Source organism: Homo sapiens, chromosome 13, assembly GCF_000001405.40.
Source record: "Homo sapiens chromosome 13, GRCh38.p14 Primary Assembly".
Taxonomy (NCBI): Eukaryota; Metazoa; Chordata; class Mammalia; order Primates; family Hominidae; genus Homo; species Homo sapiens.
In genome coordinates, this window is record NC_000013.11 from 86909601 (window position 1) to 86936807 (window position 27207).

Below are 27207 nucleotides of genomic sequence, written 5' to 3' on the forward strand. Positions count from 1 at the left end.
ACAAAGGAAGGTCAGGTACTGGTTAAATTTGACTTTTTTGCACTTTTACTGTACATGCTGGAAACCTTGTCAGGCTTACTAACTTCAGGTGTCCTCTGTCTGTTGTAAGACCCCTGTTATTCCCAGCGCCAGTCATGGGCCATTTACAACCTTAGAGGCCTAGTTTTATGCCCACTACTCTTCCCCTCGATGAGAATCAGACAACTCTGGGGTCCCTACCTTGTCCTGCTCACCATTTCAGAGTACACATTTATAACTGCCTGACCCTGGCTTGACAAATGCCCAACATTTCTGGGCCCTCTCTCCTGCCCTGCTTACATCTATCTACCTACTGTAACAAAAGTTACCGTGGAAAGGAAGCTCAGAAGTCAGGTAGAGGCAACTGTTTGGGACAATTCAATAGAACAGATCATCATGAATGCAAAACGAAAGAATTAGGTCTTCCTGTAGAAAATAAGGAGGCATTGAATGTTTTAAACAGAATTAGAATTACTCTTGGGCAAGTTTTATCTGCCATTGGCATATATTTGTTAAATGAATTAGAAACTGAAAGTAAGGAACTTAGCTGTGAGCCACTGCAACTTAAATTACCCAGATCGGAGATGAAGGATGCTAGAAGCAGGGAAGAGGGTTGGTCTCAGGAATTTTCTAGAAGGAACCTTGACAAAGTATGGTAACAGATGGAATTATCACAACACTCCTAAATTTTTTTTCAGGTTTGATTCATCTCAAATGTGATAGAACCTGACTGAGACAGTTTTAATACCACAAAAAGAAACCCTTAAAACTCCCCCACTATTAATACAAATGGTAGCCACTATTTGTTTTCTATATACTATATATTTTGTTACGTATTGTACATATATTATCTTACATCGTATTCTAAAAATTTTATAAAGTAAGTATTAGACATATTTTGCAGTGAGGAATAAGGACTCAAAAACAGTTAACAATTTGCCCATATATCCGAGAAAGCACATGACAGATGCAAGGTTCGATTTTCAATTCTTTATTCACAGAAGAATGAAATAATTTTCACGTTGCTCCTTGCAAATAATTCATCCATTATTTCTTTCCATCCATCTTGCTAACCACAAACTGTCGAGTGAATGTCTGCTAATCTGCAACCAATTTTGATGCTCTTTGTCCTGTGATTAATATTTACCATACTTTCTAAGAATCTGAAGAAGGAATGCTTAGGAGAAAAAAACTCCACCTGACATTTCTTAACCTTCCTTATAAAATTTTAAATCTTCTTGTGTCCCACCAAAAACCCATTTTTAAGATGTTCTCACTTCAAAATATTTTTAAAAGATTTAGGGTAAAAGCTTTCATTGATTTTTCCTCTTCCATGTATCTCTTAGAAGAAAAAAAAATAGAAAATACAGTAATCTTGGTGAAGGGCAGAAAGGGAACTGGTTTGGGAGAAGGAGGGTGAGGAAACACAAGGGAATCTGACTGGAGAGTTTTTCTCTAAGAATTGTGAAGTTCACTTTTAATATTCAAATAAATGCTAGCAATTTTAGGCTTGCATTTGAAACGATTGATAAATGAGACTAAGAATGCTGTAAGATTTGAAACCTATTAGGTTTTACAAAGCAAAAGAATATTATGGGTTGGGCATGTGAGAGTATTATGGTCAGAGGTGATCATTCTATCAAGAGCAAGAAACTTGAGAACCAAAGGGCATATTGCCAAGTTCAAATGATCCTCATGTTTTATTTGTATGACTTTTTTTAATGTCTCTTTATTTTCTCCTATCTAGTATAAGGTCAAAATAATCACTAGCATTTGAGCTATATTATTTAAATTTTGTTTTTTTGTCATGTTTGCCAAAAGCATACACTCTGCTATATTCCTCTTTGGTTAGTCTATTAACTGTGAGCATTACAGCAATTTATTTTTCATAATTTCAAACATACTTTGTCATAAATGAACATTCAAGTTGGTTAGAAGATTTAAAAAAAATTTTCAAGGCAGCAATATGATTCCATTTTTCTGTGAAGGTATTATGATGTTTTATTTTAGCTTTAATGACTTGGACTTCAAGTGGTTTAATGAATGTGTAAGCGGGACATCTTCTATAGATATTCATTCTTTGATTTATTTGGCCAGTATAGACCTTATCAGAAGGATGAATTTCATTCATAATAAACATTGTAACTTTATCCAATTTGAAAATACTGGCACAATATAAATATTAGGAAATTCATTTATACTGTAGGCTATTAATTGAAAGTATAGTTGGCATTCAAATACTTCCATAATTAATCCAAATAAGCTATAAATAAATAATAATTATGATCACTTATCTTTTAGGTCTTCCTTGTTCAGCAGTTGATTTTAATTTGCTTAATGAAAACTTTATCCACAGAGCAGAGGTAAGGAAATTCGACTTAAATTTTTCTTCTCATAACACTACTCAAATCTTATCTAATCAGTAAAACGACTTTGAGAAACAAATCACAACTTTATTGGATAAAGCAAATAGAATAAAGTCAATTATGACTTGTTAAATTAAAATCCTACACTCAAAATGTATATTGTCCAAATAGAGAGGATTTCGCATTAAAATTTTGTTTTTCTGTAAGATCCTAGAAAATTATGTTATGTTATTTACAATAAATATATTGATTGAAATATTTTTATCCTTTACAATAGAGAAAAATAATGGCCTAAGTTATTATTTATAATATATTGTCTATTATAAATAAGACATAATAAATATCAAATTTTATAATGTTTTTATCAACAGACCAACAATTGTGTGTCTTAGTGAGAGCAGAGCAAATATTCGAGGATTCAAATTCAAACTGTAATTCATTTATTTGTTGTATCTCATACCCATATCTTTATTAAGTATATCTTTATTAATCTTTATTAAGTATATCTTTATTAAGAATTTCTAGGTATTTTCAATTAAAGCAAAAGTAGCAGAGTAACTATCCTCACCTAGCTGCCAGTGTGGAGGGAGAGAATACTTAATAGTTAAACCAAAGCTTAGTACTCAGTTATGACAATTGCTATTTCTCACAACTAAAACCAAAGATTATCAGTCTGAATTAGTGATTAAGATTTAGCTATGACCTCTGTAGTTTAAAAGCATGGACACAAAATATTGAAATTATTTAATATAAATGATAAAGAATGTATACCAAGCAAATACTAATGCAAAGAAGGCTTATGCACTGATATGGTTTGGCTGTGTGCCCACTCAAATCTCACCTTGAATCATAGCTCCCATAGTTCCCACATTTGTGGGAGAGACCCAGTGGGAGATAACTGAGTCATGGGGCTCCCATACTGTTCCCCCATAGTGTTCTTGTGGTAGTGAATACTTCTCATGAGATCTGATGGCTTTATAAGGGGAACACCTTTCACTTGGATCTCATTCTCCACTTCCACCATCCGTAAAGGGAATGACATGCTCCTGCTTGTCTTCTGCCATGATTGTGTGGACTCCCCAGCCACTTGGAACTGTGAGTCTATTAAACCTCTTTCCTTTATAAATTACCCAGTTTTGGGTATGTCTTTATTAACAGCAGGAGAACAGACTAATACAGTAAATTGTTGCCAGTAGAGTGGGGTGCTTTGTAAAGATAATCAAAAATGTGGAAGCAACTTTGGAACTGGGTAATAGGCAGAGTTTGGAACAGTTTGGAGGACTCAGAAGAAGACAGGAAAATGTGGGAAAGTTTGGAACTTTCTAGAGACTTAAATGGCTTTGACCAAAAGGCTGATAATGATATAGACAATGAAGTCCAGGCTGAGATGGTCTCAGATGAAGATCAGCAACTTGTTGGGAACTGGAGTAAAGGTGACTCTTGCTAAGTTTCAGCAAAGAGACTGGTGGCATTTTGTCCCTACCTTAGAGATTTGTGGAATTTTAACTTGAGGGAGATGATTTAGGGTATCTGGTGGAAGGAATTTCTAAGCAGCAAAGCATTCAAGAGGTGACCTGGTGCTGTTAAAAGCATTCAGTTTTAAAAGGGAAATAGAGCATAAAAGTTTGGAAAATTTGCACCCTGACGATCACATAGAAAAGAAAAATCCATTTTCTGAGGAGAAATTCAAGCCAGCTGTAGAAATTTGTGGAAGTAACGAGGAGCCAAATGTTAATAGCCAAGACAATGGGGAAAATGTCTCCAGGACATGTTGAGGTCTTCACAGCAGGCCCTCCCATCACAGGCCTGAAAACCTAGGAGGAAAACATGGTTTCATGGACCAGGCACAGGGCCTCCCTGCTCTGTGCAGCCTAGGGACTCTGTGCCCTGCATCCCAGCCCCTCCAGCCATGGATAAAAGTGGCAAAGGTACAGCTTTGGTGTTGTTTCAGAAGGTGCAAACCCCAAGCCTTGGCAACTTCCATGTGGTGTTGAGCCTGAGGAGGTAGGAAAGTTAACAATTGAAGTTTGGGAACCTCCAGGTATATTTCAGAGGATGTATGGAAATGCCTAGATGCCCAGGCAATAGTTTACTACAGGGTTGGGGCCCTCATGAAGAACCTCTGCTAGGGCAGTGTGGAAGGAAAATGTGGGGGCAAAGTCCCCACACAGAGCTCCTACTGGGGCATTGCCTAGTGGAGCTGTGAGAAGAGGGCGACGTTCCTCCAGACCCCAGAATAGTAGATCCACTGACACCTTGCACCGTGCACCTGGAAAAGCCACAGACATTCAATGCCAGCCCCTGAAAGCAGTTAGGAAGAGGGGTATTTCCTGGAAAGCCAAAGGGGGCAGAGCTGCCCAAGGCCATTGGAGCTTACCTCTTGCATCAGCATGACCTGGATGTGAGAGATGGAGTCAAAGGAGATCATCATGAAGCTTTAAGACTTGACTGCCCCACTGGATTTCAGATTTGCGTGGGTCCTTTAGCCCCTTGATTTTGGCCAATTTATCTCATTTGGAATGGGTGTATTTATCCAATGCCTGTTCCTCCATCATGTCTAAGAAGTAACTAACTTGCTTTGTTTTTACAGGTTCTTAGGTGTAAGGGACGTGCCTTGTCTCAGATGAGACTTTTGGACTGTAGACTTTTGAGTTAATGATGAAATGAGTTAAGATTTTGGGAGACTGTTGGGAAGGTATGATTAGTTTTGAAATGGGAGAACATGAGATTTAAGAGGGGCCCTGGGCAGAATGGTATGGTTTATATGTGTACCCACCCAAATCTTATCTTGAATTGTAGCTCCCACAATTCCTGAGTGTAGTGGGAGGGACCAGTGATAGGTAATCGAATCATGGGGTTGGCCTTTCTCATGCTGTTCTCGTGATAGTGAGTAAGTCTCATGAGATTATGTCTCATCTCATCTCATGATGGTTTTGTAAAGGCGAGTCCCCCTGTACTTTCTGTCTTTTCTGCTGCCATGTAAGATGTGCCTTTGCTTCTCCTTCACCTCCACCGTGCTTGTAAGGCCTCCTCAGCTGTGTGCAACTGTAAGTCCATTAAACCTCTTTCCCGTATAAATTACCCAGTCTCAGGTATATCTTTATTAGCAATGTGAGAACAGGCTAAAACATGCACCTAATAGATAAAATAGATTAAAGTGGTACAGTTATTGATAGTGATAAATACTGTTGTTACATGAGAAAAAAATTTTCACCAAAAGACATAATTTCATAACGCTAAGCTTTCAAAAATACACCTTCAGATATATAAAGCCCAGATAAAAATAAATTGATCACTTTTTAAATCATCTATATATAGTTCTACTTTAGAGCTTCTCCATAGATCAAGGAGAGAAAATGCTCTATAAGGACAGAGAGGATTTGAAAACCTCTATCAACTTTACTGGCCTAATGGATATATTGAACCATGTAATAAGCAAATGGAGATACTTCTTGCATAAAACTCTAGCTAACTGAGACATTTTATTAGGTGTTTGGAACACAAGAACTATATGTTATCAATTACCTGTACTGTTTCTCATTTTCCTTTAAAAGTTGAAAGAGTTTTCTACATAGAACACATCCATTATTTTCTAGTACATGTAGCTGATGATCGATATGATTCCAAAGACCCAATATAGTATTCACAAAGTGTCTCAAATACCAGGATAAACTACATCTCACATTAATAGAAAGTTACAATAAACAAATTTAATCTTTAATTATAAAAAATAAGACAATTATTAATGACTTGTTTCTATGTGCCTGAAATAAATTCATATTGCCTAGGTACCTTGTGAATAATGTAACTTTATGCATCTTAGTAGCTATATATAATAAATTATTTATTTCTCCTGAATTAAATTCTTGGCTCTTCAAATGATTAATTAGGTGACACAAATATTCTGAATATTTTTAAAAATAATTTATTAGATTGGTAGATCTATTTAATCTCATCTATTTAATACAAATAACAAATATTTGCTATTGACTGAAGTGTATCAGATACTGGACCTTGAATCCTGGGGTACAGATAGGACTATGGCAAGAAACAACCTTTAAATATGTACTGCTTTCAACATTCAAATTAGGGAAGTGTGGGAGAGAAAATAAGTTTTTAATATGTTAAATTGTGCTGGTTATAATACAAATATGCTAAAGTGGGACAGAGATTAATGGGATTATGCATTTCATAATATGGTTATGGAAGACAATGATGAGGTGGACCTGCAGGAACTGTGATTGCATGCTTCCAGGGAAAATTAATAGCATGTTTGGTGTGTCTTAATGTCAAAGAATATATGAGGAAAACTGGAGGAAAATGAAGAATGGGGAGTAATAAGCCAATACCAGAGAAGACTGAAAGAGTAGGGAAGAGACTTTGTGTTTCACTCGTATAAATAGAAATGAAGTGGTGAATTTTGAGCAAAAATATGATATGCAGTAAACAATGTTATGAGTATCACTATACCTGCTGTGAAGATTATTGAATGTAAGGGGGGAAATATGGATGTAGAACTATTATATACATTTTTTCATTATTTATGAGGAATAATGTAGACTTAGGAAAAAATGTTAGAAGAACCTGATTTAAAGCTGTCTAATCTGGATATGTTTTGATAATAGAGCCCACAGGATTTGCTCATGAATAGATATGGTGTGCAAGAGCAAGAAGCAGAAAACTTTTGATGTGAGCACATTAAAAAAGGGGGTCATGGATTTTTAAAAATGGAAAGCTAAAGAGAAGCAGATACTAAAGGCCAATACAGTACACTTCTGTTGTTTAACAAGATGAGGTGACAGAAAAATTTTACACGTACCATCACTTGACAGAAATAAAACCAGACAAACAAAAACTACAGTTTTCAAACATTGGAAGTCATGTCATGAAACACAGTTATCCTAGGGAGACATGAAAGAAACCAGATGAGGCCTATAATTGGCAGTAGCCTTGACAGAGTTTCCAAACTGTGGCAAAAGGAGAGGTAATCCACTGAACTCTGAGATGAATAAACATAGTGAGAATTCAAGGAGAACAAGATAGATAGGAACTGAAGAAAAGAGCAGTAGAAAGAAGATAAAAGCACAAAGAGAAAAACCATGGATACCTACAAACAAGTTCAGCTTGAGTTCTGCTGAACTCAAGCATTCAGCAGAACACTGATTAGTGCATGAATGTGAAAAAAAAAAAATGTTCAAGGCTAGAGAAAAAGTAACCAAAAAGAAGTACTGCGATTCGTATCTGGAGGCGACATAAGACTTGAGATAATGCCCATTTTCACAAACCCGTTAGAAAGCCTCGAAAGTCATGGAATGTAAAATAGAGCAGAGAGAAGAAGAATTGGAGACAGTACTGCAGAATCATTATGGCTAGAATAAATTATGCTCTTGTCTCACCTAACAAATCTTAAAAGTAGGGACCCACAATATTGGAATGTTTTTACGTTTCAGAGAATTTAAGGCTGGGTGCAGTGGCTCATGTGTGTATCCCAGCACTTTGGGAAGCTAAGGTGGTGGATCACTTGAGGTCAGAAGTTCAAGAGCAGTCTGGCCAACATGGTGAAACCCTGTCTCTACTAAAAACACAAAAATTAGCCAGGAATGGTGGCACACACCTGTAGTCCCAGCTACTCAGGAGACTGAGGCAGGAGAATCGCTCGAACCCAGGAGGAGGAGGTTGCAGTGAAACCGTATTGCGCCACCACGTGCGCGCGCACACACACACACACGCGCATATATACATACATTTATAAACTTAGTTAAAACTTCAAAATGTAAAATTCACCAGCATCCAAGTGAAAACTGGCATCCAAGAAGAAATTATCTGACATACAAGAAATAATTATCAATCAGACAATGAGCAAAGCAGAAAAATATGACACATATGGCGGAGAGAAATCAATCACTAAAAACTGCACTCAAACTGATAAAGAGTCTAGATTGCAGATAGGGACTTCACATAAATTATTATATATCTTATTGATAAAAATTAGAGAAAAGATTGAACATGTTAAACAGATATGTGGATTCTACAAAATATGTGAATCAAATTTCTAGAAATAAAAGGAATTAATGGCAGAATGAACTTTTTTCAGAAAAATAGAATAATGGACTGGAAGTCAAGAAGAGAAAATACACAAAAGGATACAAAAAGTAGAAAAAATGCAACAATAAAATACAAGCAATATCAATTTAAGCTTGGAGTAATTTCTAAAGCCTAACATATTGTGTAATTGGTATGGACAAAGAGAAAAAAAAGGAGAATAGAAAATCTGTTTTAAGAAATTATAACCCAAAATGCTCTGACACCAAAAACATACACAAACATTCCAAGAAAAGAAAACTATATATCAATCAAGAACTTAGATGCAAAAATGTTTAACAAAATTTTAACAAAACAAATCTAACATTATTTAAAATGCATATGCACCGTGATCAAGTAAAGTTTGGACTAAGATTGTAAAGTTGGCCTCCTATTTGAAAATCAATCAATGCAAGTCATCATAGTTATAAACCAAAATGAAAAAAATAATAATTATTGTAGAACATTTAAAATGATGTATTTGTCAAATCTTGGATCAATTCCTGATAGAAAACATTCTTCAAACTAGGAATACCCTCAACCTGATAAAAGTCACCTAAATAAACTATTGAAGCAGCGTCACTGTCTGGGGTAAATACAGGAGGTTCGTGGTCTCACACTAAGGAAATCCAGTATGCTGACACACAAGAAGTGGGTTTAGGAGTAGAGGTTTAATAGGCAGAGGAAAGAGAAAGGAGAATAACTCTCTCTCCTGAGAGAGGGTGCCCAAGTGGGACTTCCAGCCCATGTAAGAGTGTGTAGGGTTTTATAGACAGGCTTGAGGAGGTGGTGCCTGATTTACTTAGGGCCCCAAAACTGGTTGGACTAGGTGTGAAGTTAACATAGCAGACAAAGAAGCTGGCTGCCCGTCCCTAATCTTTTTAATATGCAAATGAGTTTTTACTTGGCCTGCACCGTGTTGTCCTCTTCCTACTGCACACATGATTGGCAAGAAGGGAAGATGGAGCTGTGATGTTGCACATGCCTAGTCCCCAGGTAGCCTTTTCCTATTGACACGGCTGCTGGCCTTCACGCATGCAGGCTTCCATCTTGCTTGTCTCTGTCTGCAGCTCTATTATACAGGCTACTCTTTGTTAGACAAGAAAATGATTTGAGGGCTGCTTTTCATTAAATGGAAAACCTTATCGAGGACTCCCATACCCTCAGTAACTGCCTAAGTAATTTCTTTTTAACTCCTATATCACTATGTCTAACATAATACTTAGCATTTCAATTTCTAATGCTTTTCTCCTAAAGTCAAGATTAAGGCAAGTATTTCCAATCACATCACACCGCATCAACATTGTATTTTAGGTTGCAACCATTGCAGAAGCCAAAAAAAGAAAATGTAATAAAAGGAGTGTTTATTGAAAGGTTCAGGTAAACTCTTTTATTCACAGACAATATTGTTACTTATAAAACCTGATGAAACCCACAAAAAGCTACCAAATCTAACAGGTGATCTTGGCAAGATAATAGAATGATAATAATATTATCATTAATAATAATAATTAGTTGCATTTCTTTATATCAATATAAGTAATCAGAAATTAAAATAAAAACAGGCTGGGCACTGTGGCTCATGCCTGTAATCCCAACGCTTTGGGAGGCCGAGGTGGGCAGATCACCTGAGGTCTGGAGTTCGAGACAATCCTGGCCAACACGGCAAAACCCCATCGCTACTAAAAATACAAAAATTAGCCAGGCCTGGTTGTGTGTTCCTGTAGTCCCAGCTACTCAGGAGGCTGAGGCAGGAGAATCATTTGAACCCAAGAGGTGGAGGTTGAAGTGAGCCAAGATCATGCCACTGAATTCCAGCCTGGGCGACAGAGCCAGACTCCCTCTAAAAAAAAAAAAAAAAAGAAAGAAATTAAATAGAAACATTACCATTTATAAGAGGACACACAATATTATATATTAAACAAAAATGCAATAGCTGTACACTGAGTACTTGAAAATGTTAGAAAATATTTCTAATATAAATAAATTGGCTAATACCTAAACAAATTGAATTGAAAATTTTAACATATTAATGTTTCCTCTGAAGACTCAGTATTGTTAAAGTATCAATATTCTCCAAAATGTGGTCACGGTAGAAAGTGTTAAAGAGCTTACTGTTATCAGTTTCTCCTTTGGTAGAGAGGTAGAGATAATAAGCTAAAGAGAATAAGGCATACTCCTAAGTTGTTAGCAGTTTTATTTCCTCAATGAGAATGATATTTGGAAGAGGAAGGGCAATAAGAATCATATTTCCTCTGAAACTTGGGTATGTGTTTCTTTTCCAGGGAGCTGCATTTCTGGGTATTAATAGAGGAGTATCTTACATCTCTCTATTAAAAAATCATTATTTAAAAAAAATGTTTAATTCAATTTTAATTGCTTTTGATTTGGGCAAAAAATGTTTTTGAAATAAAGTTATCTAATATGCATATGAATTTCCCTTTTTTAAAAAGCACCAATAGGTGCAGGGGTATTTTATTACACAAGTAATTATCCATACAGATAACCAGAGACGATGTCCCTTTTCTAATGTTATTTACATTTATAGCAAGATCACAGAATATTTGACCTGAAAACAAACTTAGATAGCATCTAGTTTAAACACTTCCTTGAGGAAGAGAGACACCAAAGAAGAAGTTAGGCAATTAGTGGTAATGTTGAAACTTCAGTATTCACTTTATTTTCTTCTAAAATTCTAAACAAAATGATTTGCTTGTATATTTATTTCTATTTGTCTTAAAGTACTCTAGCTTTTGTTAAAAATACTTGTTGCATGATTTCTGCTCTAAATTCCCCAGAACAATGACAGGTTATTTAGTTTAAGAAATTTAAAAATTTGTCATTGCATTTTACATTTTTATTGTTCACTTCTATTCATTTTTTAGTCTCACTGAAACTGCCTTAAATAAACTAGCAAAACTAGAGGCAAGAAGCAAGTACTATCACATGAATATATGATTTGAAGAGCAATCTTGTTTGTAAATTAGATACTTGACAAGTTTAGTAAAAACTGAAATAGTTTTAGACATTTTTTTAGATCCTTGGATCAAAGCTTCTACAGATGAAACATTTGCAAAATTATTTTCTCCATAAATGCTGACCATACAAATCTGATTTCTTTATTCACACTTTATGCTTCATTTTATGGAAGACTCAGTAACCCATAACAAATTTCAATCCTGAACAATAAGAAAAACTTTTTAAGTTTTCTTATTATGCTTTCTTTTTAATGTATAGTTTGAGCTTCTTTTTTGGTTTATTCGTTGGCTTGGGAATTTTTATTTTAAAAATATATCTTACAGCAGAATTCTTAGACAGTTTGCTTCATATTTTAAGCAATATTTCAACTTTAAAAATATAGTTTAAACTATTAAATGTTTAAAAAATACTCACTGAGGTTCATTTACTTATTTATACCAAAATATTTGAATTTAATTAAAAATTATAAATTTCATGGTATAGTTCTATTAAGTAAAGATTTTTTTACAGTAATGAGTAAGCTCTTAGAGAGTATGGGTTAAGAATATGGATTCTGGAATTACATTTTGCCCTTTTAGCCTCATGGAGGGTTTGCAAATGATGAAATGGTTGATTGACCCTATAAAGCTGTTTTTTTAGTTTGATGCTATATTCAAGTCAGTATGCTAAGTCTCATGCCCACAACACAGGACATGTTTATTGAATGACAGTATAAATAATTTAATGTTATCTTTTTTCAGAGGTCAGTTAAATGATTCTTTGTAGTTTTTTAAAAAATTAGCAGTTGTTATGGAAATTTTTAGATACAATAGTAAAAAAAAATGTTATAAACTACCAGCTTCAAATTTACTCATTACTCAGGTTCAACAATTATCAATATTCTGCCATCTGCCATACCTACATCAGCTCCTCACTCCTCTCTAGATAATAGTGATTATTATTATTTTATAGGTTTTTAAAATTCAAAATTGCATACATTGAAATATCGAATTTTTAGCTGTATATTTTTAAAAAATGAGTATAGCTATATGAATCTCACTCCAATCATAAAAATCTATTTCCAATTATTCAAACATTTTTTCTTGTACTTTGCTAATTTCTCTTGCCCACATCCCACTCTCCACAGACAACTGATTTTTTATTTACCATATACTTTTTCCAGTTATAAAATTTCATGTAGATTGAGTCATACCGTAATGTTCGTGTGTGTGTGTGTGTGTGTGTGTGTGTGTGTGTATCTTCTACTTCATATAATGTATGAATTCCTCAATCAGGTTACATGTGTCAGCAGCCCTCTTTTTATTGCTAAATAATATTTCACTGTAAGACTACACGATGATTTGTTTATTCAACATTCACTTGATGGACTTACTTGTTTTTAGTCTTGGCTGTTATGGCCTAGAAAACTGAAATGACAAAAATTTTTCTTTATATATTTTAAATATGCTTTTTGGTTGTCTTCTCACTTCTTATGCAAATTAGCCATCGTGGCTATTTGTTTTTTCTCTGTATGTAATGTGTGGTTCCACATATACTTTTATGTTTTCAAGATTGTATGTGTGTATGTGTGTGTGTGTGTGTCTGTGTGTGTTTAATATTTAGATTTTAGCAATATGACTTTGTGCATAGGGGTGATATTCTTTGTGTTTGTCCTGCTTGGGTTGTATTAAGGTTTTGAGATATATAAATTATGTTTCACTATATTTAAGTAAATTTTGGCCATTGTATCTTCAAATATATTTCTGCTCCATCCTATGACTCAAATATATTTCTGCCCCATCCTATGACTCCTCTTTGGGAAATCAAATTCCATCTAAGCTCTGAGGCTCCAGCTTTTTATATTTAATATTTGTTTCTTCTTCAGATGGGTAATTTTAATTGTTCTATCTTCAAAATCACTGACTCCGGGCTGGCCCACCTGCAGTCTGCTCTAATCCATCAACAGGATATTTATTTTAGTGCTAGTATATGTCGTGGTCACTGTCTGAGGCTGGTGCGTGGGTGGTAAAGGAATTTACCAAGACAGTAATAAGTTTAGAAAGGCAGATTTATTTAGAGGAAAGGGGGAGATATGTTGCAAGGGAACAAAGGGCAAGACAGCAGGAACAATACGATCTGGAAACAGGCAGGGCCTCGAGTTTTGTAAGGTCATGCTGTTTAGGCTCAGTGCTTGCAGACAGGATCCCTGGGTTCAGGTAGGCAGTGATCTGGGTGCTTGTAAGGATGCTTGGGTGCTAGTGAGCTGTTGAACCCATTTCTTGAAACATTTTATCTGCCCTCTACCTCTGTTTCTATTTCTTCCAGCTAAGCCCATTTTTCAATTATCATTTAACTCCTTAGGTGTTAAATTCAGGTGTATTTTGTTGTTGTTTTTTCTGTAATTTATAGTTTCTATTTCTCTACTGAAAGTTTACATCTGGTCATTCATTGCTTTTCCCCCCACCCCAAACCTGGAACATAGGTATAATATCTCTTTATAAGTTTTCATCTTATAATTGCAACATTGAGGTTTCCTTAGGGTCATTTTTTATTGACTGACTTTTTCTTGAACATGGGTTGCACTTTCTGTCTTGTCTTATATCTGTTTTTTGTTGAAATAAGGCCCATATGATTAATATCCTGTAGATACACTGGATTATGTTATGTTCTATTAATAGGAAATCGTATAGTAGCAGGGAGTTTTCTTGACTGGATGTATGGTACAGATTCTAGTCTCCTAGTAGTAGAGAAAAATCTAACATCTAGTATCCGTTTTTTTTTTTTTTTTTTTTTCCAGCTTTCAGTTACTTTCACTAGGGCTATGGTGATTTCCAGACAGGCATTGTTTAGTGTTCAGGCAAGTTATTTGTTGAATGTTATATGCAAATTTTGGTCATGCCATTTATGCAGCTTGCCTTCTTTCATGATACCCCACTAAATTCCTGATTGCTTTTTTAGCCCCAAACCTGTCTATATTAAAACTTTAAAACAACTATAACTAAAATATCATGGCAAGATCTTGATGTTTTTGAGAGACTTACATTTATGACCCTTTATTATTTTTATTTCTGCTACACCCATTTTAATTCTCATTTACTGACGTGATTTCCTTGTACTAATGAAATGGAAAGTGTTCCCTTGTCCCCCTTGCAGGGCATGCGATGCACGTATGGTCCGCTTTTTTGGTGCCCCGCTGCTCCAACCTCTAGCGGGAGAATGCAGACGGGACAGATTGTGGGGCTCTGATCCCACAGCAGTGTCTAGGGGTGAATGTTTACAGCTGAAGCCCCAGTGGGCGTGTGTTACAGGTGCTCTTTCAGTTTAGCTGTCCATAGGCAGCTTGTGTTAGTCAGCTCAATTAGACCCCCCAGCTTATCACAAGTACAGAAGGCTTTCTGTATCCCGGGCTTTCTTGCCTTGGGGTACTGAAAGAATCGGGTCACACATGGGCTTGGAGAATGAGTGCAAGGTTTTATTGAGTGGAAGTAGCTCTCAGCAGGTGGGGGAGCCAGAAGGGAAATGGAGTGGAAAGGTGGTTATCCCCTGGAGTCAGGCCACTTAGTGGCCAGGCTCTCCCCTGGCCAAACTACTCATCATTCCACTAGTCGATGGCCTGTCCGTGACTGTTGGTGTGCTCCTATGTAGGTGCGTTCCTCTCAATGTCCAGCTGCTTGTGTCTTCGACTGGTGTGTTCCTTTGGATGTCCAGCTGCTTGTGTGTGTGCCCACTAAAGTCTCGGGGTTTTTATAGGCACAGGATGGGGGTGTGATGGGCCAGGATGGTCTTGCGGAATGGAACATGTGGGCAGGAAAACAGAAATGCCTGTCTTCACCTAGGTCCCTGGGCACAGGCCTGGGGGTGGAGACCTAGCCAGGGACCATGCCTTTCCCTTCCCAGCCCTTCCCTGATCCCCTCCCATATCACTAATTGTGTATTTTGTATCCATAAACTTGGAATAATCATTTTTTACTTCTTCTCCCGTCCAACCTCTCCTTTTCTGTTGTTTCTGTTTTTGATGTTTGTGTTTTGTTTAGTTCAGTTCTCCTACTATCTTAACCAAAGCTTGTTCTTCCAAACATTGCCATCACAGGGATTTAAAAGAGAAATGTTTACAATTTTAGCCTTGGTCATCAGACCAATTCTGAGCATAAACATTTTTTTTTAATCAGTTGATCACACTTTTTAAATCTCAAATACGAAAAGACATAAACTTAGCTGAAATCACTATACTGTACATTATTTTTACTGTAACTAATTCCAAAGTGGTTTAGAAAGTTGTATTTTGCTTCCATTGACAAACCTTAAATCTAAAACTTCAAGTACATTCCTATTCTAATTTGGAAGTTGCCTGAAATTGGTGGGTTAAGACCTGAAATTAAAGAAATTTTTCTCTACCTTTGATATATCCTCAAAAATTCAGACATCATATGCCCCTTATAATATTCCTCCTACATAAAAGATTTAAATTACTGAAAGTTTCCTACGTAGTCTTTTACACTCTTAAACCAATTATTTACCAAATATTTGTCTAATGTCTCTTGAAATCATTTACTTCTTATCTGATATGCTTTTTTTGAAAAAAATAGCTTATTGTGATCTCTTGCCTAAATAATTGAAATCGCCTATTAATAACTCTCCCAGACTATAGCCACACTTTTCTCCATACAATTTTAATTGATTATTCTAAAATACATAATTTAATATTTCAGTTCTCACTTCACTTTTTTTAAAAAAATCTGTCAGTGCCTTCTCATCTTTAACATAAATGCACTTTTTACAAAGAACATGCCATTGAAGGCAACACTCCTGGTTATCATAAATTATATGATCCAGTCATAATTAATTACTTGTAGCTTTTTTTTTTTTTTTTTTTTTTTTTTTTTTGAGATGGAGTTTTGCTCTTGTTGCCCAGGCAGGAGAGCAATGATATGATCTCGGCTCACTGCAACCTCTGTCTGCCCAATTCAAGCGATTCTCCTGCCTCAACCTTCTGAGTAGCTGGGATTACAGGCAAGCACCACCACGCCTGGCTAATTTTGTATTTTTAGTAGAGACGGGGTTTCTCCATGTTGGTCAGGCTGGTCTCGAACTCCCGACCTCAGGTGATCCACCCGTCTCAGCTTCCCAAACTGCTGGGATTACAGGCATGAGGCTTTTTTTTTTTTATGTTCTCCTTGTCTGCAACACTCTCCCTTCCAATTGCCTAGCTATCACTATTTCATTTTGCTGTAATCAGTATAAACTGTTACAGGTGTTGAATCAGTATGGGTCTGTAGCAACCTCAATTCTTGCTTCCTCAGAAGAAAGACTTTGACTGAGGAGCATAAGGCAGAAGAAGAGACCAAGGCAAGTTTCAGAGCAGGAGTGGAAGTTTATTTAAAAAGCTTTAGAACAGAAATGAAAGGAAGGAAAGAAAGTACATTTGGAAGAGGTCCAAGCAGGCAACTTGAAGGACAAGGGCAGGTTTTGACCTTTTGACTTAAGGTTTTATATGTTGGCATACTTCTGGGGTCTTGCACTCATTCTCCCCCAAGAGGGTGGGTTGTCTGCATGAGCAGTTACTTGCTAGCATTCTGGAGGGGAGCATGCACATCGTGTTTACTGGAGTTGAACGCGTGCTCACCTGAGGCGTTCTTCCCTTTCCCTTTTCCAGGGGAATGTCCCAGGAAGGTCATATACCAGTTAAACTCTACCATTTTGCCTCTTAATGCACATGTGGGAGCTCACTCACCAAGTTTCTGAGATCTTATTGAGAAGCTGCCAATAACCATTGTCAGGTGTTTTTATCTGTCAGGAAACTGCCTTTCCCTGGTGCTGGTTGTGACCAATTATTATTTTAGAGAAACAACAACCTGACCCTCACCTTATGGTCACCTGACTTTCCTGGTGGTGTAGGAGGAGCCCTTTCCAGCCCTGCTGTATTAGTCCATTTTTCACACTGCTGATAAAGACATACCAGAGACTGGGCAATTTATAAAAGAAAGAGGTTTAATGGACTTACAGTTCCACATGGCTGGGGAGGCCTCACAATCATGATAGAAAGTAAGGAGGAGCAAGTCACATCTTACATGGATGGCAGCAGACAAACAGAGAGAATTTGTGCAGGGAAATTACTGTCTATAAAACCATCAGATATTGTGAGACTTATTCACTATCATGGAAACAGCATTGGAAAGACTTCCGCCATCATTCAATTACCTCCCCCGGGGTCCCTCCCACAACACGTGGCAATTCAAGATGTGATATGGGTAGGGACACAGCCAAACCATATCACCTGCTCACACCTGACTAGCTACCTACTGTAATATAAACCACATTTTCAGATGACTTCTGAAACTGATGAAACACTTCTCTTCTATAATTATGAATCTTTTTGGCTTTTATTAATATCAAAATTGATTATAATTGATTAAATTTCCTGTTGATTTCTCTTCCTCCCATATGAGTTTGAAAGCATCCTGAAAGGAGAGACTGTGTCTTATTCATTAACAGGCATGTGGAAAATAGAAAGTATCAAATAATTTGCATAATAATGACGCATGAATGAGTACCTGTCATAGTAATAAACTATCAAAACAATCCAAATTATTGTGAATCTGTAAAATTAAGTGGTATGTTTTTCAGGTAGGGTTACAATGTAAATTTTGATATAAAACAAATCTGGTTGAAGAATAATAATAGTTATTACCATTTCGACATAACTAAATATACAACCATCATTTTCATATAGTAAGTAAGTGGAGTTGTAGGTTACTATCTTTACTTATTAAATGAGAAAATAGAACTTCAGAAATGAATGACAAGTAACTCACTGAAGATTATTGTTGCATTTGGGATTCAAATTCAGCACTTAGGGAGGCAGAGGAGGGAGGATAGCTTGAGCCCAGGAGTTCGAGACCAGCCAAGGCAACAAAGCAAGATGTTGTTCTCCACAAAAAGCAAAAAAGAAAAGATTCAAATCCAGCTCTCTCAATTCATAGTGTGTGGATTTCACCAATTGTTTTTGTAGCTCTTATATGAAATGCATGACCCTTTGGTGAGACAAATCCAAATAATAATGAGCAAAACATATTTCTGCCATTTTTAAAGGTATCGTAAATGTTATCTTCTCTGCTTTCAGAAATGTTATGCCTCTGCCAGATCTTTATTTGTTAAAAATAATTATAACAAATTATTTTTACAGTACAGTGTTATGTTACTATATTATATATGTTCGAATATGTATTTGTTTTATGTGTGTCAGTATATATGCATGTATATTATATATACATGCATATGCATAAGGATATATGTATAGGTATGTGCATGTTTACATGTGTGTTTGTAGGTATATATTTATAAGCAGATATTTCACCATCTGTTGAGAAGGTGAAAAATATATAAAAACTTATAAAATAATATATAATTGATCTTAACTTTTACCAGCTATTTATCAACATTTTTTCTGGACTTTTTGCTGAATACATGAAGTAGAATAATATTGACTTTGGGATATTTATAACATATTCTTAATCATTTTTTATTTGCTATATATTTTTAATTTGTATGATCTTAGCAAATCATTAACTGGAAAAGTTACTTTGTAGAGGTCTGCTCTCTTTCTCTGATAATGTTTATTACTACATTAGTATTGTTAATAATATATAACATTTATCAAGTTAGTATATGATATGAAATATTTTTATAACACTTGAACTATAAATATACTAGATACTAAATATTAAAATACACTGTTCATCACAAAAATATTTAGTCATCACAGAAATACTATGAAGTTAGTTGTTATTTTGATCCATATTTTATTGATCAGGAGCCTCAGTCATAAAGAATTTAAATAAAGTTAAGTTCACATAGCTGGTCAGTTCTGTAGCTGAGTTTCCGCCAGGCACTTTGACTTTACAGCCTGATACTACAATAGGATGTTCCTGCCCAGTAGGGCAATGATTCGCTTAGTCACTTTTAGGATGTGTAGCATGATGATTATTTAATCGAATTCAGTTTCTCACAATACTAATTATTCAGGGAACTGAAGTGTTTTCATCTAGCTTGGAATACACCTCGGGGTAAATCTGTCTCATTCAGGTTACAGAAAGGAAAGTCATTATAGAAAATATCTTGCTTCAGATCAAAGTTTTTGAGCCTGAAGGCAGTGTATTACTTTTTCCATACTGTTACCTATTGCATTAGAAAATCATCTGCCTTGTACTTCTTCTAATTGCATACATTTGTCAGCTCAAAGTTGTGCTTGCATTTGCCTTCTTTTAGTATTTCAAAATATAGTAATAACAGATGTGTGGGTATATCTATATCTATATACATATTTATGTATCAATACATTTATATGAGAACTCATATGTGTTTGTAAACATATACATGACACATATAAGCCCAATAGATTAGTTTCCAAAAAACCTTTGCAGATATCTAGTTCAAGTTCTGGATAAAATATTGTAGTTGATTCCATTTTTAACAACATTAAATTATCTTAGATTTCATTAACATTTTAAAATCAATTTGCAAATAACTTGAATATTAAAAAGTACATCAGTATATATTTATATATCTGTTTATATATATACACACAAACACACATGTGCATACACAGTCACAATGTCTAAAGTATCTGCAATTAGATATATATATATAATGAAATAAAGTTTAAAACGATTATTTTCAGTGTTTTCTGATTAAGAAAAACTTATTGATGGATTTCAAAAAGTATGTTAATCAATATTTTTCTTAAATCTGTTTGCCAACATTTCACTTTTAGGAGAGATGCAATTGGGGTTAGTAAACAATAATGTATTCACCAAAAGAAACAAAGCACTTTCTATGCACCAACAGAGTACTGTACATTCCATATTGTACATATTTATTCTTATAACCTTGGTAACATATGTATATCTCTCTCTATATAATTACTTATATAATTATATATCTCATCTATAAATATCTATTATGTATAATATATAACATACATAATGCATATATTTATTGTAACCATTATATTGTGACATTTGACTTGTTTTCAACGTTAACTACTAGTATTCATGTCTTTAAGAACATTGTTGTAAATGTCTTTTTTCCACTTAGGTATAACTTCACATGTACATTTAAGAACGGAATTGCTGGGTCACAGGGCATGTCTATTTTCAAATACAAAATATTTCTAAACTGGTTGGATTTGCGAAACATAAATACTTTAAATGGCATTAAATATGTAACTATTATATTTATATTAATTTAGTAATACATATATTATGTAATTAACGCAGTAATAATTTGTGGACTACTTACTACCTGCTGAATGCAAATATTCTAAAACTGAATAAAACATGGTCCCTTTAGGGATGTCGGTAACAAATTTGTTGCAGTTAATCAAATTACAATAATGTATTCAAATTGACTGTGTCTTTGGCATGTGATATATATTACTAAAATACTCTTTATTGAAAAGTTTCAGTCAAACAGCAGATGGTTGTGTCTACTAAAATTAGTAATATCAGAATGAATAAAAACTATTTTTTCATTTGATCCAGATACCTGCCTTGTACAAACAACACTGAATCATAATTTTCCATTTAGATTTAAATTCTGACATCTTATTCAATTCCAGGTTTTATGAAAATCAGCAACAACAATAAAAAAAGCTAGCTATGATTTCACAGATATGTATAGCTGAATAGACAGATAAACCACACATAGAGCAAATAAAAAGCACCAATATTCCATTTGAAATTCAAACACATATATTCTTTACCACCAACGGTGCATATATTTACGCACTGTTATACTGTTAAATCTTGGACGCTATTTATCTAAGCCTTGAAAATAATTTAGAAGATTATTTAGATCCACAAAATATCATTACCTTATTTTTAAATAATCTTTAATGGACACATGACCAGTCTCAAGCACTGCCAAAAACATGCATGTATTTAGACAAAATATATTACATGAAGAAATGTAGCCTCATATGTTCTCACACCTATATGAGACAGCTTAATTTTACTCAAATATTGCATCTAATTGGTCCAAGAATTTTATGTATTTTTGCTGATTATCATAAAGGAAATTCATCAAAATCATTTACTCTTTATGGCATTAGCTCAGGCCTCTCTTCTAGTTTGTTTGTACTATTACAATGAATTCCTGATTCATCTGCTGTCAGTCTTTTTCAACTTCATTTTTTCATATCTTCTCCTCCATTTATTCTGAAATGTGGGTATCGTCAAGTTATTAGCTGGTAAAACACTTGAAGAGCTCTCAATCCATATAAATGTAATTCACACACCCACAGTATTGCACAGTTTCAAACACTAAGCATGGATAAAAATATTTGCTAGGGTAGTGAATGCAAAATAGAAGAGGCAATCATTAAAAACTGTTATAAATTAAATATTTCATTAATAGATTCCAGTTTCTTTCATACAACATGGAGAATTTAAATTCTCATTAAATTTATGTTTCCATCTTATAGAAAATTATTTCAGTTACTGCCCAATTCCCAGGCAAGTTTTTTTTTTCCCACTTTATGCCAAAAATTTTATACTACCTCAACACCAAACTTTGTAATTTTTGGACAACTCTGAGTTAGACTCCAATTAGGATTAGTGTGTATATTTCTAAAGAGATGTTTATAATAACTGCAATTAGGTTTAAAGTTATGATTTATCCTAAAGCCACATATTTTTTATTTTGCATATACTTATAATGCTATATGATAATTACTATAGCGATTAGCATGTATCATTATAAGTCATGCTGATTGCACTGACTAGGATACAATAGTAGGTCAAGCATATTTAGCATAACTTACTCATCAAGGACTCATTTGATAGATATTGAGTACTTATCCTGTGTCAGGCATCATTCATGTCAAAATTTGTATTAGGCGGCCCAGTTATTTGTGTTACTATAAACATCATTGCATCTCCAATCAGAATCAAAAGAAACATGTAAATACAAATGTTCTTTTGTCATGTGCTGTATTAATATGGAACATTTTTAAAGTAATTTTTATGTCTTTACATTTCTATCACTACCTTTTATGCTTTAAGTGTTGTAAAGAGATCAAACCAACAAAAGATATTTATTATAAGCCAATATTTTTTTTCAGAAACTACTAATTTTTGCTGGTTTGTTTCCTTCTTATTCCCACTTGATGCTTAGAATGTGGCAGTATGATTTGATATCTGACCATAAGTTTAAAAAAGTAAAGAACAATCTAATCATAGCACAAATTCATGGGGATAATTCATTTAGTAGAAATTTAGACAATTGTAATAAAATTGCAAGTTTCAGCATTAAAAATGATTTTTAGTTTTTGTGGATTCGTAAATAGAAGTTGAAAATTTCTGTGTCAGATTCTTAGAGCTGTACATTGTATAACACTCTCTTGATTCACCTGTACAACATTTTATCCCAGTTTTTTGGATTACATTGAGTTAGAAAAATATCCCTTTGGGAAACTTGATTTTACATTGGAATTGAACATATTGTATTTATAGTTTTTCTATGTATTTTAATATTAACAGTTGAAGGAATGCTAAATGTTATTAAGTCTAAAATGCAAAAGAACGTACTACATTTTTTACTGAATTATGTTTAATTTTCAACATGCTTATAGTATTGTTGAATGTACATAGCTTTGAAAAAAACTGTACAATCTTTCTTCAGTTGCTTTAATACAAAGTTTATTTTAAATATTACCAAGTAAAAGGATTAATTTTAGCTGAAATTGAAGTCACTTAAGAAACTTAGAAGGGAATTAATATGATACATATGCTTATCTCTTGCCATTCTCAGTAAAATTATTGTTATTATTATTATTATTATTATTATTGGATCAATTTTTATTTGGGCTTCTCACAGTGGTTAGAGCCACTCTGTTTTCAGAACAATCACAGCACAGGAAATGTGTCACTGAGACTGCCCAGAGCAGTCTGACCAGCTGTATCTTATCACTTAAAATGCATATATTCACAATCACTGACAAAGGGTAAAGTGCCTCACACAGGAATGTGTTTATATTTGCAAATCTTCCGACCGACTGTAGCATCAAACCCTCCACCAACCTCATTCACCTGGAAAACTAGTCTCAGTCACATCTCCCTGGCCCCCTAAGGACTCCTTCAGCTCCCTATTAAATCTCTTCCTGAGTAGGGCAGCCTCCTGCAGTGGGGGCCAGACTGAGACTCTGGAATCAATCCCAGCTCTGCAGGTTGCATTTCAGTCTTCCGGTGCCTTTAGGGTAAGATGCTTCAATGAATCCCACAGTTAACAGTCACCCAGTTCCCCACTCTAACTGGGGAAAGGAACTCGAGAGGGTCAGAATTCATCCATTTGATCAATTCACTGAAAAGGGATTAATTTTGGTAAAACTTGTTTGCCTTTGAGACACTTCAGTCAGATATCTAAAACATAAGACACATACTAACCTATAATTGTTATATTTTTCTATTGGTATTAAATAGAAATAAAGATATACATAAGTACTTGTAAACAGATCATAAACAATTATATTTGTGCTATAGCCCCATTGACTTTTTTATTATTTCTAGAAATAATGCTGATCCTTTGTAACATTGTGATTTGCATACAAATTGTGGTTGGTTGATATTTATCTATTAAGTTTGAAATAAATAAGATCACATATATGTTATAAGTGCATGTGATTTATTATTAAACATGTCTAATCATGGCAGCAAAGACTTAACATGTTTCTATAGGTTGCTATGTTCCCTGCAAAACTCACACTAAAATTTGATTCCCAATGTGGTAATGTTGGGAGGTGTGGGGCCCAGTGGAAGGTGTTTGAGTCATGAGGGTTGATCTCTCATGAAGAGATTAACGCCCTCCCACAGGGGTGAGGAAATTCTTGCTCTCTCAAGGTTGAGATGATAAAAAGAGTCTGGCTTCTGTAGTTTTTCTCTTTTGCTTCCGCTCTGACCTTGTGATCCTTTTCCGCTTTGTGCCTTGAGGTGTACCAGCCTGAGGCCCTCACCAGATATGGACATCCAATCTTGAGCTTTCCAGCCACAAGAAGAGTCAGCCGAATAGTCTTTTCTTTATAAACTCCATCTTTATATCTCAGTTTTTCTGTTACAGCAGCACTAAATGGACTAACATATGTGTCAAGGACTTTTATTAGGTTGGCGCAAAAGTAATCGCAGCCTTCGCAATGAAAAGTAATCGCAAAACCCACATTATTTTGCATTAACTTATACTATACAAATAATTAGAACATTTTATCTGAGAAAGTTTTTTTTGTTTGTTTGTTTTTGTTTAAGAAAGAGTCAAAGTCTAGTGCCTGTTTGTGGGAGATGGAGTAAAATATACCATTTTTCTTCTAATAGCCTCTTTAATTATTTACCACCATTACCAACATTATATGACTCTTTCATTTTGGTCCCTAATTTCATAAATAAAACATTATAATTTTACTAAAATAAAATAACTTCTTCATAGGGTTGAAAAAAGAATGAAAATCAATAACTGTTGATGTGTATGAAGTATTCAATACATTTACCTTTATTAATATTATTATCATTACTGATTATTTCTATGTGTGTTACTCTACACCAGATAAAAATTTTAAATCTAAGTGAGGTATAATATAGGTTCTTTCATTAAATTATTATAAAACGTATTTTGGAACCAAAATATTTATAAATAGATTAGAATACAGACACATACATATATATGTACATGTATACATATATATGTACCCATATTCATGTATAAATAAAAACATTTAGATAATAGCTGAATTATAAAAACTTTTATAAACTATGTGTTTTCATAAATTTTTCTAAAATTATAATTTCTAAAATCATACTTCTTGTCCAGTACATATTATCAATGGAAGAAATGTACAAAACATATTGTAATTCCCATTGCTAAATGATTAGATCTCAAAACAGAAAGAAAAAAAAAGGGCTAAGAATGAACAAGTTTGAAAGGGGAGTTTGGCTTTCTTTGTTTTCTCTTTTCTTCTTTTTTAAATATCCACATTAGACATGTGACTGTCTTCCTCTTACATTGGAAAAGTAAATAACTCCACCTGGGCTATTCTGCATACCCGGACAGTCAACACAGACAAATTTGAACCTCCACCGTGCATATATTTTCTGTCAGGGATTGCATTGTTATCCTCTTGTTGTTAATTTCTCGTCAGTCTTAAATCAAAAACTGAAGGGTGAGACCTTTTCATTACCTTATAACTTCCTCTATAGACAAAATGGTGAAGTTTACACAAAAATAATGGTTACTTTATTATTAATAATTATTATTTTTATATTGTTTATCTTCTTAGAGAAAAGTAATGCTTACAATTTCTCAAAGACAGAATCATTGTTGGCTACAGTTTTTAAAAGAGAGAAGTTGGAGCAATGGTAGGACTGAAAAAAGAATAAGCTATATCACCCCCACCTGGCAAACAAAGTTGCGACTAAATTCTAGGTTCTAATTTTCAATGGTTTTGTAGAGCCTGCAGTCTCCTTCTAGGGTTTGAAACTGTAGCAACACCAGACCTATTTGGTTTAGCTTTTATGTGACAAAGTGGTAAGTTGTTTTTCACTTGCTGTGGCCCCTCAGATTGGTGGAACCAAGCCTGTAACCTCAGGGGGAATCTAAGTGCTAGGACTGAGGAGTGGGGACAGAATTAAGAAGTGGATTCCACATGACAGGATCCAAGATCTAACCAGATCAAGCTCTGGCTTCACCCCATGGCAGGATCCAGTCAGGTACTTTCTCTTGACATCACCTCATTGCAAGATACAATCAGATCATGCCTCATTTTCTGATGTTTCTGCTTACTTGCAAGTAATAAAATCTCCTTACTAAATCCTCCTTGGTTGTGATCATTGGGCTGATACCCACCAAGTGACGGAATTATTAGTGAGCATATAGTCTCACTCTGGAGTTTGATTAAAATTTTTGTAATAGAAATATACCCACAGATAATTCCTAAAGCTTGATTTCATTGATATTTAAAAACAAATATATTTATAAACATTGTGTATTTAATTGTGAGTCAAGAACTCATTTTTAAGACTTTCTTTTCTTATTATATTAGCATTCTAACCAGAAGTGTGTTTTTATTTTCAATTTTTTTTCAAAATACTATCTCAAATGTAATAATATTACCCTATGGAAATCCTTTTTAACTGCAAATATTCAGCATTGAGTCAGAATTTATCGAAAACTGCTATTTCAGTTAGCATCCCATCATAAAACCAATAGTCTGTTCCAAGTAAAGTAATTAGTAGAAAAATTTAAGGGGTCATTTATGAAAGAGTGGATGAGGTATAGAAGAACACAAAGGAGAGAGCAGTTACTGTCATGGAGCTGTGACTGCTTCCTGGAGAAAGAGGGTTCATGCTGGTTACTAGAATCTAGAATCCAGAAATACAGTACTGTGTCCTTGAGGAATACAGTGTTCTGGGAAGAAGTAGTAAATTACACACAAGTGCATAGCAGAAGTGGCTATTGAACAGGAGAGACTCATGAGAATAAATAATTGAATCTACACTTATTCCCTTTCTTTAGTGTTCTTCTAGGGCTCCTCATTGACCAAAGCAAACTGAAAGCCAGAGATCAAGGATGCTACTAGGTGGAGCTCATATAGGTCAGCCGCTCAAAACACAGGGAAGGGTGAAGAAGAATGGATAATAGATCCTGGATGTGAAAGGAAAAAAAATTGTGACACTCCGTTTTTAATAAGAATGTATCAGTTCAATCACTATCAGTTTGCAGATGTACATTAAATAATAACAAGCAA

General features: G+C 34.6%; 1 long non-coding RNA gene across 1 annotated transcript; it reads left to right on the forward strand.

The window, feature by feature from the left end:
- On the forward strand, positions 1–27207 carry LINC00430 (long intergenic non-protein coding RNA 430). Its single transcript, NR_132371.1, has 3 exons — positions 1–10; positions 2320–2381; positions 26976–27207. It is a non-coding gene; the product is annotated as a long intergenic non-protein coding RNA 430 (long non-coding RNA).